Source organism: Homo sapiens, chromosome Y, assembly GCF_000001405.40.
Source record: "Homo sapiens chromosome Y, GRCh38.p14 Primary Assembly".
Classification (NCBI taxonomy): Eukaryota; Metazoa; Chordata; class Mammalia; order Primates; family Hominidae; genus Homo; species Homo sapiens.
The window spans coordinates 23,567,459-23,579,658 of NC_000024.10; positions in this window are offsets into that span (position 1 = coordinate 23,567,459).

Sequence of the window (12,200 nt, forward strand, 5' to 3'; positions counted from 1 at the left end):
AAGCTACTGTGATCTGAAGGAATAGAGATGAGAAGGATATGAGATATGCATTACTCCATCAGGCAATTGATAGCATGTTTTTCCTAAGAGATTTTATAGCATAGCTTTCAATCATTAAAAAATATCCCTGAGATAGTTCAAATTCTCCTTTCCTTCCATCCTATCTCATACAAACTTACTTCATAGACTCTTGGATTGTGGCAAATCACCTTACACCAAGTAACAGAATACAGAATAATTTCAATGCCTGATATTGTGACTTTACTTCCATTTTTACCCATATAAAGTTGAGTAATATGGACTCATTTGTTTATACATGTTTTATAAATTTCTGCTTTTATTTCTCCATTAATTTTCTTTTTTATTGTCCACCTCTAAATTATATTAATGATGTAGAGGACATGACTTTTGTGGCTTACTCTGATATTGGTATATAGCCAGCAGTGAGATTGCTGGATCATATGGTAGCTCAAATTTCAGATTTTTGGAAAAAATAAAAGATTTGGAAGCAACCTAAATGTCCATCAGCAGATAAAGCGATAAAGAAAATGGGGGAGGGATAGCATTGGGAGATATACCTAATGCTAGATGACGAGTTAGTGGGTGCAGCGCACCAGCATGGCACATGTATACATATGTAACTAATGTGCACAATGTGCACATGTACCCTAAAACTTAAAGTATAATAAAATAAAAACAAAAGAAAATGTGGTACACATACACAATGGAGTATTATTCAGCCGTACAAAAAGAATGAGATCCAGTGATTTCCAACAGCATGGTGGAACGGAGATCATTATGTTAAGTGAAATAAGCCAGGCACAGAAAGACAAACATTGCACGTTCTCACTTATTTGTGGGACAAGAAATAAAAATAATTGAACTCATGGACATAAAAAGTAGAAGGATGGTTACCAGAAGCTGGGAAGGGTAATGGGGGCCTGGTAGGGAGATGGGGATAGTTAATGGTTTTAAAAAAACATAGAAACAATGATTGTGACCTACAATTTGATAGCACACCAAGATGACTGTAATCAATAATAACTTAATTATACATTTTAAAATAATTACAGAGTGTAATTGTATTGTTTGTAGTTCAAGTGATGGGTGTTGAAGGAATGGATACCCCATTCTTCATGATTGGCTTATTCCAGATTGTATGCCTGCATCAAAACATCGCATGTACCCCATAAATATACACACTTACTATGTCCCCACAAAAAAAAATTAAAAAAAATAATATTATGAAGAGACTATACCAAGAGGGAAATAAGCCGTATCTTCCAAAGCATAATTTTTCTTTTACCAGGTTTGTTTTATTTATTTATTTTTTATTTCTCTATCTTTCTCTCTGCTACAAACACACACACACACACCCCTTCATACACACACCCCTTCATACACACACATACACAAGATGATAATCTGGCCAAATGTAAGTTTGGAGATATTGAATTACAGTTTACCATCCAGATTGTCAGGTCTGAAAGCTATTAGAAAATGAAGTATCAATCATCTAATATTTGGAAAAAATTTGTAAGCACATATCATGGAAGTTATTGATAATATGTTCTTTAAGTACTGTAGATTTTAATGCTGCTTTTAATGTTGGTTAAGTGGGAATTTTTATAATCTTGCTGTTTTATAAGAACAGTTAAATCAGAGATAAAATATAATGTATTGCTGCACTAATTTAGAAGGTGTCATGAATACCATACATATGTATGGATGGTTATATAGACATAGACCCTTTTTTTTTTACAAACTTCACTGAATTATAGCATTTATTTTTGATGTTCTTTTACTCCAAGTGGTAAAATTACCTTTTTTAAAAAATCACTAATTATGGTAAGTAAATACACTGTAGCCCAAATGTAGGCCCAGCACATTGCTGGTGTCTAGGCAAATTATTCCCCAAACTTACTAATTAGTAGAAGTAGCTTTAGACTTTTACTAGGATAAATGCAACTTTGATTTTATGATGAGATTTATATTTAGTGTTGAGGACTTGTTTGATTAACGAGACTGGTGAGTCTATTAGGAAAAATAACCAAGACCCTCAGGGAGAACTACAAGCCTGAAGATCTAGATCAGCATAATTAGGGAATCCAAATGAGCCTCAAGCCCTAAGTGGGAATCCAAATGAGCCTCAAGCCCTAAGTTAGACGATATTGCTCCCAGACTTTTATCACTGCCTTCATATTCATCTCTGGACTAGTCATTTTCAATGCATGGAAAAAAAATGGGTGCATGTATTTTTAAATTATTGAGGACAGTATCCTACTTAAGCACAATACTGTATTCATGCATTTAAGTGTCATGTAAGGATTAATATTTTGATTTACTCTAAAACAATAAGTTACTGAACTCCTAGAGGCCCATCCTAAATAATATAAATAAGATACAGTCACTATCTGTTGTTCACCTAATAAGTACCTGACACTATGCTAGGAAATAGGAGGTGGGTGGTGGGACTTAATGAGTCTGTCAGTCCATTGTTTTTATATATTTTATATAAATATATATATATTTATATATGTGTGTGTGTATAATTGCTGTTTTAATTATTGAGCATCTGCTATGTGTCAAGCACTGTAATGGACACAACAGACTCAGTAGTATGCAAAACTAGCACACACTTTGACCCCATGGAGTTTGCAATGTAACTAGGAAAGTATATGTGAAACTGAATATTACAAAGAAGAATGCCAGAAGAGCAGGAAATATTTCAGGAAAAAAGAATTATTTCAGATGTTTATGAACTTCACCTACAGTTTCAATCTTGTAAATATAAACATGCTGTTCTTTATACAAAATCCCACTGTGGACTCACAAGCACAGATAGGGTACACGCAGGGATGGTTTTCCCAAAGCTGAGATAAATTGAGATTGAATATCAGCCACCCTCAGCTAATCTCTTAAATAGACACGCATACTTAAGGAATGCTTGGACTAAGTAAGCCTATGACACAGGGTGAAGGCAATGTAACCCCAAATTAAATCAGCAACTTGTTCCCCCTTGGTTCACTTTAATTGTGCTAATTATCAAAAACCTGAATATGTGGTCAAGCTGGGCACAGAAGGCGGTAGAGAACTTCCACGTATTATTATTTACTTTTCAAGTCTCTACACCTGAAAAGCAGAAAAGGCAGGTGCTATTAATACCATTTTATGGATGAAGACACCAAGACTTATAGCTAATAGCCCACCCAAGATCAAAAATACATAACAAGAGCTATTTCCAAACCTCAAAGCACGAATCTCTTGGGTATGAACTCTTGTCTCTTTGCTGAGTCAGATTACTTACTATTCATATACTTTGCATCATTACATAAAAGAAAATTGCTCAGTTACATGCACTTTAAGCCTTTTAGGTATATTCTATCAAAAACACAAGATCAATTCAAAAATAAAAATTGCTTTAAAATTTATAAATTTGAGCTATTTACTTGGTAGTATTCATGTATTCATGACTCAGCAGGTAGCAATATAATGCATGCTTGTCAGATATTATTCACTATAAAATAATAAAATAGTGCATCCCTGGGTAAAATTAAGAGCAAGACTCCATCTCAAAAAAAAAAAAAAATTCTACTCCCAGGTCTACAGAAAAAACGCCAGTTTAAATTAAATTCTGCTTGCTCCCATAGAATAAAATAGCCCTGTGTATTTAAATTACAAAAACAGTAGCCTTTCTGTTATATAAATTTATGTCCCGAATGAGTGTAGTAGATAGTGCATATACCACCACTGATATTTGTAGCTGGGCAATTAGAAACATGTAACTTGCAAACATCTATAATATTTATATTTATAATATCAAATATCTATAATACAGAAAGCCAAACAAGAAGTACAGGTTGACCAAAAAAAAAAAAAAAAAGAATAAACAGGCCATATGCACAACTGCAGCTCAGTAAAGCATGCTGCTGTCATTTTGTGGTAGATTATAGTTTTACTGTAACTAAGAACCAAACAACTCTAGAAGAAGTAGGTGTGCATTCATGTATGAGTGCACACACACATATTTTTGTTTTCTCATTTTTACTGATAATAACAGTAATAATTATTGCAGAAAATTCAGAAATGGAGTTTTTAAAACTCTAAAAATTGTACAACCATTCAGAAGTAAATGCTACTACCTTTTCCCCACATTTTCTTGCAGATCACCAATTATACATCAGATTTTTATGTATTTATTATGATTATTTCCTCACTGCCATCTATTCTTTATAATGTACTTGAATCACTCTACTATAATTCATTTAAGTATTCCCTTTTTAAAGGAGGTTATGAATTTGCCAGCTCTTTTTCTTTTAAATGTTTGCAAATTCGATAGTTTGAAATAATAACTCAATGATTTATTTGCATTGTATTTATTTGATTACTAGTGACAGTGAACAAGCGTCTCAATGTTAATTGACTATTTTTATCCCTTTATTAGTTCGTTATTTGAGCATGTTCTTTATTTTATTGAGAACAGTATCTTATTTCTCTAAAAACAATAACAATCAAAAGTACATTACTGAGGAAACATATTCATATTTGGCAAATAAAATAATGTGATGGTCTCATAACAACCCTTTCAATGTGATAACTTAGAAATAGTTTTTTTTTTTTTCTAAGTTGTCTTAAGTAACAAATGTTGTCTTTCCAAACCTAGCTTCAGGGGTAAAATAATAATAAAAATGCATTTGAATCCAAAATATGCAAGAATCATTGTGTCCAGCTCCTGTAGGTAGACAATATAAGCTACTGAAATCTGTCTGATGCATAAAACGGGTCCTTTTTCCTCCTTAATGATTCAGTCTGCTGGATTTCCATATTCATATTAACAGTTAAATATTTCTAAGTCATCCAGACAGGACTTATGAACCAGAATGTGATCTTTGTACCAGCGATTCATTTAATACAATTATTTATGGCACTACAGAATTGATATTTTGAAAAAGTATGAAAAAATATCTTAGCATATATAAAAAATCTTTAAATGATATGAAATACTCCATTTTACCATTATTACTTCTAATAATAACACCAAAATTTGCATTTATCTTATTTGATCCTCACAGCAATCCACAGACCTAGAAAGAAGAGGCGTTTTCATCCTATTTTTATAAAGAAAGAAAGCAAGGTGCAAAAGACATTGAGTAAAAACCCAAGGTGATATGCTTAATTTGTAGCAAGGAAGAGGCTGAAAATTTACCCTTCGGTTTCTAAATCCTTTACTCCCTTTTCCTTAACACTACTGACCCTCCTTCCGCATAATTATAGCATCATTGTCAGAGTTCTAGTTTTCTGTTAACACCCTATTTGGTCTACAGGTGATGTTCAACTACACCTCTCTGTTTACCACCAAACTATGAAAGCGGAAGACAGGAGCTTTCCAGTGAAAACTTCTTAAGGAAACTTAGAGGGTGAACTGTCCTTTCAAATAATGTCTGCTAAGGATAAGTCTCTGGGTTAGCCTGATCTATTTTGTACTCTCATTCACCTGTAGCGTTATTCATACAATTCTCTGAGCCTGGAAGCCTGGAATGAATGCTTTTGTTCATTCTTTCTCTCTCCTTTCTTGCTTTTCTCTCTCCCTCTCTCTCTCTCTCCCTCCCTCCTTCCCTCTCCCCTCATCTCTCTCATCTGTCTCCACCCACCCCATTCTCCAAGGCCCACCTCGTATGCCATCAATCTTTCTCATTATCTTCCACAAATTGAATGTGATAATTCTTGCCTCTGAACCAATACTACTAAGTAAACTTATCTTTTAATTCAAACCTATACAAGTTGTCTTACTCCCTTATCTGACAATAAAATGCTTTATGGTTTTGCCTCACATATGAAAGTGTTCAATATCATTAAGAAAAATAATGTACAGATACACATCTGAGGAGGTATTGGCATATACAATTGATATAGGCATAGAAGTCTCGAAAATGGGTTTATATCACAGAACAAGAACTACCCATTAGTATTAAAGTACAACCTACTTGCCTAATTGTAGCATGTAGCTGAGAACAACCTCCAACGATGTGAATAGTTTGCACTGGGGCCCTTCAGAAATTGATTACCCTTCCAAAATGCATCCAGCTTTGACTTTAATGACAAGTTCAATTATTTTTTCTCTAAATTCATTGATGGCAATGTGTGTTATTGCCACCTTCTAATTGTAGCTTTCTGCCTCTTTGAATATGTCCCATGGCATAAGTTATGTGCATTTCAGCAATAGAAGCAAAAAACACTTGTGCCCAAATGACATTTGGGACTGACTTCACAATCTGCTCCAGGATTTACTCTAGGTGTTGTTTCCCTAATGTAGATCTTCCAAACTGAACCGCTTCAATCTTTTTTAGTACATAGTGCTGGAGTTGTAAATAACTGCTCAAAAGTCAACTGTGGTATGATCGAGACCCTAAGCAAGAAATTATGTGTAAAGAAAAGATTTCTTCTCTTTCCTAGGCCTGTTAATTCATCAGCAAAAGTAAGGAATTATAAAATAGGAGGGTTTTCCAAGTCTTACTGTGCAGAATCACCTGGGAAGTTTTTATTTGTATAAAAAGCACAGTTTTTTATCCTCATCCCAGTCCTATAGAATGAAAATTTCCAGGGATCGTTCTAATATATCTAGTCCATTGATCCCTGTTGAGATACAATAGGTTATACGGTCTCTAAGGTCTCAGGCATCACTAGACTTTTATAATCCATGAATATCTATGGACTTTATGTAAAAGATACAGCATGGAAAGCTACCTGTAATGAAAAGGCCAGGAACTTATTTATGAAAAAAAAACATAACTGAAAGAGAAATAGGCAATATATTACTTTGGTGAGAGCAGTCTCTTTTTGAAAGTAAGATCTACCTAGAAAGACCCATAACCGACAGTATTCTTTTGGTGAGCCTAGAGCCATAGCAAAGGGAGTTAGGGGAATTAGCAAAAAAATTTGAATACATCTCTTACTGTTTTGATTTCAACTCCCTTTACCCTTTCCCAAATTCACTCAGAAACTTCCACGAACCTAGACTTGCAGGAAGTATTCAATAAGGATCTGCCTTTCAGAAGCTGAAAAAGACAAATAGGGCAGCAATGAGGTAGGGTAAAGTAGTAATGAGAAATAAGTTTAAGGACAAATCGTGGAGAACTCCAAATTCCATAACAATGAGTATAAACAGAATTCGTAGGTATGAAGAGTGATAGAACCTCAAATTTCAGTTAAGTGACATGTCTGACATAGAATTGAATTGGAGTTAATTGGTGATATCTTGAAAAGTTAGAATGAATATTGAACACTATCCAATATGTGGCTAGTGATTAGAGGATTCAAGTGTATTCATGTGATATTCCAACAAAGTCTTGTAGCAACATATAGTATTTTAAAAGGGAGAGATGTTGGGAGTGAGTATAATTCAAAGAGGCATCTCAATTTCAAGTTAAGCAAAATATTAACATACATGTTAACTTAGTGAACTCCCACTGGACAGAAAAAGACATAATTTGAGCAATAATAACTTCAATCGTCAAAAACACATCACAAGTATAAAAGTAAATAAATTCAGAATGATAAAAACTTATTAGATATCATTGGAAGTTGCTAAGACATCAACCCATTTTTCTGAAAACAGATGAAGGGGAAATTTTAAAGCATTCATCGTCACTTTCCAGATGAAGGGCATTTTAAGATAAGCTAATAATTATGGAGAGAAAGTTATTCTTTGTTGAATTGATAGATTCAAAAGGAATGATAGAAGAAGAAAATCTCCATTTTGCATCCCCTAAAAGCATAATGTACCTTGACAACAATAATCAATTAATTCTAAAAACCTTAGTTGAAGTGTTGGTGAGAAATTTGATGATGGAAGGGTCAGGTTGACATCATCTGAACCCACAGTGACAGTTTCCATTACTGGAAGTAGGACAATCAGACATTATATGCCTCCAAGGCAGTGTAATGGAAAGTATACACCACCACTCACTAAATATTATTGCCTAAAATTGGAACAAAATACAATTAAGGCTCTGGGGCTACACACAATTTTAAGGGAAATACCAGAAAAAGAGGAGTATATTAAATGAAGTCATAAGGAACCAATCTGTGATATTCAGAATGTGGGATGGTCTATAGGACAAACAGTCCGGTTTCTCTCTCAATCAATTGCATGATCTGAGGGATTTTTGAGTATAGATGATATTAGATGGTGTTAAAGAATTTAATTAATTTTCTTAGCATAATAGGTTAATGTTATTAAGTATGCCAGTGACATGGTGATATGTAAAATCTATTTAAAATATTATTGTCAGAGATGTGTATTTAAGTATTTTCTGGTAAAATAACATAATGCTGTAATATTTTATAAACCCCTCTCAAACAAAATTAAAAAGAGTAGTTGGGCGATAGAAGCCTCAATATTCCAAAGTAATGATGGTTGTTGACTGTACATGATGGATACATCGCAACTAATTACTGTTCTCTTTACTTTCATATGGAATTCAAAAATTTGCATAATAAAATGCTTTTTAAAATTACTGAATATGAATTGATCTGACTAGAGCAGAATTGGTGGACAACACCTGTCCAAGAGGTACTGCAGAGTAGCAAATCAGGGATGCCCCTTCTAAAAGTTGTAATGCTATGCAGAACTTCCTCTAACATAGCACTTATCACTCTGTATAATACTTACCTACTTAAATGCCAGTTTCCATATATTGTGTGCTGCTTATTCTTTAGTTTTTGCTACAGATTGATTCTCTATCTGTTTCCATGTTGTACTATTTTCCATAAATCTGGCTTGCTTGGGCTTCTTTACCCTCTGGCTTCCAACTAGATTTGGCCAAAGGAAAATACTGGCTAGATATCTGCTATAGATTGATTCTCTATCTCGTTCCATATTGTAGTGTTTTCCATGAAGCTGGCCTGCTTGGGTTTCTTTACCCTCTGGATTCCAACTAGATTTGGCCAAAGGAAACTACTGGCAAGATATCTGAGGGTGGAAGGAGAGAATGAAGTACTAATTCCTTTGTTTCCTTCCCTTATAGGCTGCAAGTTGTCTGGGCTGATTTGTCTATCTGTTAATAGCTCCTGTGGTCAAAACTTTCATACAGATAGAACTTTCACTGTGGGTTCCAGAAAGGATTTCCTCCCCTTGACACTTTAGGCCTAGGAGTAGTAGTAACTTTTCAGTATGCCATCTGTTATTTGCTAAGACCCTGACTGATAAAGACTATAAGCTTCATTAAAGCTTACAAATTGTCTCACTGTCTTTTGTTCATTGTGATACCTACAATATATGACTGCCTGTCATCTAGGAGTCAAAAAATTAATATTAGCTAAAGGAAAAGAAAAATAGAAGGATATGAATAAAATCCCACATTAATTTCCAATTTTAAAAAAAGTAACTGAGAAATAGAAAATACATGCTTATTGTGTTCTTTTAAAAAGAGTCCATTCATTAGTCAGTTTCATGTACAATGAATTGGCCATGCAGACGGCCAGTGCTGAAGAGAAATGTTTGAAATATCTGCTCCTGTAACTACCAAACCTTTAAATTTATTTTCCTGAATACTTATTTCACAGGTAGAACAATTATCAGTAATTTGATTTACCCAATAAGCTGCTTTGCCTTGTTTATTTGTGCTTCCAAATCCTCCTCTTCATTTAATTTCACTTTTTCCCATTCCCAAATACAGCACAATCAGGAGCTGTGCTATACACTCTCCTGGCTCTACTTTCCAGCGAACAGAAGTAGACATAACAATTTGAATTTCCCCATTGTAGTCTGAATCAATGACTCCTGTATGTATTTGTACCTCTTTTAAACTTAAACTAGACCTTCCTAAAAGTGATCCTATTGTTCCCACTGGCAAGGGTCCACAGACTCCTGTTGGGACCTTATGTGGGTGTTCCCCAGGCGGAAGGCTCACAGCTTTTGTGCAGCATAAATCTACTGCCACACTACTGGCTGTGGCAGGGGACAGATATTGTACAGAGGTGAAGGAATGGCCTGAGCTGGAAATGCCCCAGTCTGGAGTGGGGGCCGGGATGGGCTGGCACCTCATGGCATTTCCTGAAATTGGGTTCCCATCTTTATCAAACTTAGAGTGACACTGACTAGCTCAATGTTTTCCTTTTTTACATTTTGGACACATTTCAGACTCAGCAGTTACTTTTTCCTGCTATCTGGCAGCCTGACTCACTGATTTTTTCTACATTCTTTTTTAGTATGAATAGCTTGTTTAAATTCTTGAGTAATTTAAAAGGAAAAGCCTCAAATATTTCCCTGCTGATCTGGGGGTTGTATTCTAACAGAGTACTGCCAAGCCTCTAAATCACCCTCTCTTCTAGCTTGCTGAATTACTGCCTGTATAGAACTGAGAGCACTCAAGGCGCTGCTTGAACACTCACTGGGGCAAAAAGTTTTCACCCAGGGTCCTCTGGAAAAGAAAGATCTGGAGGGCCTTTTTCTTCAGTATAATAATGAGGGGGTGCAGAAGGGTAGGGATGAACCTCTCCCTCCTTTGCCGCTTTAGCTTTAGTTGGCAAATAAACCTGCTCTGAAACCTCCTGTGTTACTTCGTTATACTCTCCTTCCTCCCCATCATCAGTGTGAAAAAGTTCCAAGGTGGAACTAACCACAGCCCGCACTTGTCCCATTGTTACCCTGATGCTTCTGAACTCCCCTTCTTACTCACCAAGGGGATTGCTTTAAGAGTACTTGGGTGTCCTCCAGCTGGTTCCACATTCTCCAACCATCACTCCAGTGATCCTTTGACCTGGATTCAACCCCTTGCGTATGGGTGCCCCTTGCCGAGACCAGCTCAGCTGGGGAAACCCTAACCCAGCAGTGCTAGAGGAATTAAACCACACACACACACACACACACACACACACACACACACAAATATAGAAGTGTAAAGTGGGAAATCAGGGGTCTCACAGCCTTCAGAGCTGACGGCCCTGAACAGAGATTTGCCCACTTATTTACTAACAGCAAGCCAGTCATTAGAATTGTTTCTATAGATATTCGATTAATTGAAAGTATCCCTTATGGGAAATGAAGGGATGAGCCAAAATAAAGGGATGGGTTTGGCTATTTATCTGCAGCAGGGGCATGTCCTTAAGGCACAGATTGCTCATGCTATTGTTTGTGGTTTAAGAATGCCATTAAGCAGTTTTCCACCAAGGGCGGGCCAGGTGTTTTTTGCCCTCATTCTGGTAAACCCACAACCTTCCAGTGTGGGTGTTATGGCCATCATGAACATGTCACAGTGCTGCAGAGATTTTATTTATGGCCAGTTTGGGGCCAGTTTATGGCCAGATTTTGGGGGACTGTTCCCAACAGGTGGTATTTACAAATATTTTACTGTGTACCTATTTCCTGCAGCTATTAGTAGGTTGGCTCAAGATCCAGGAATGAGATGATACAATTGAGGTAACAAGGCCCCAGAAGAGCAATAGGAACTGGGGTCAACATTGCAAAGAAAAAGGAGAATGGGCCTTGAAACGTAAACACATTTGCTTCCTCTGGGACAAGTAGAAAAGGAAGAATGTCAGAGGTAAACAGTCAAGTTGGGATAATGAGAAGCACACTCTAAATAAGCTCCATCTTCTCAGGCAGATTAGAGGGTTAGATCATGGGTTTTAGGAGCAGCTCAGAGGTACAGAGCAGCTCAAGTGTGTAACGGAAGAACAGCTCTTTAAGGCACAGAGGACTGATCACCTGTATTGAGGGCCCAGCTGTAGTTGGGGGAGCCTGAAATTAAGTAAGCCCAAACCATGTGCTTGGAGGGGAGTTTATTTTTTATTTTTATTTTTACTTTTGGTAGGTCCGTGGAGGAATTCTAAGCATCCATCTCTTCTTCACCTTTCAGTGAGGGTGGAAAGATGAAGATGTTTAAGGATTGGAGGTTTGCAGAGCCTACCTTATTTGATGTGAGAATGGCAGCCTATTTAACTGAAGATTCTGGGCTTATCTTGCATAGTGAAGGGAAGCAGAGGAGGGGCAAGTGGCAGCTAACCCAGGGGGAAAGGGAGGGTGGATTAGCGGTCTCAGGGATCAAGGACTAGATCTGGAGAGACTGGCAGGTGGAATTATAACAATTGTCCAAGAGTACAGAATTGCAGGATTAGGTTTCAGGTGGATACTGGAAAGCAAATGCACTGTGCTGCCATTGGATGGAGTCATGGAAATGAACAAAGTTCAAGGTCCCTGG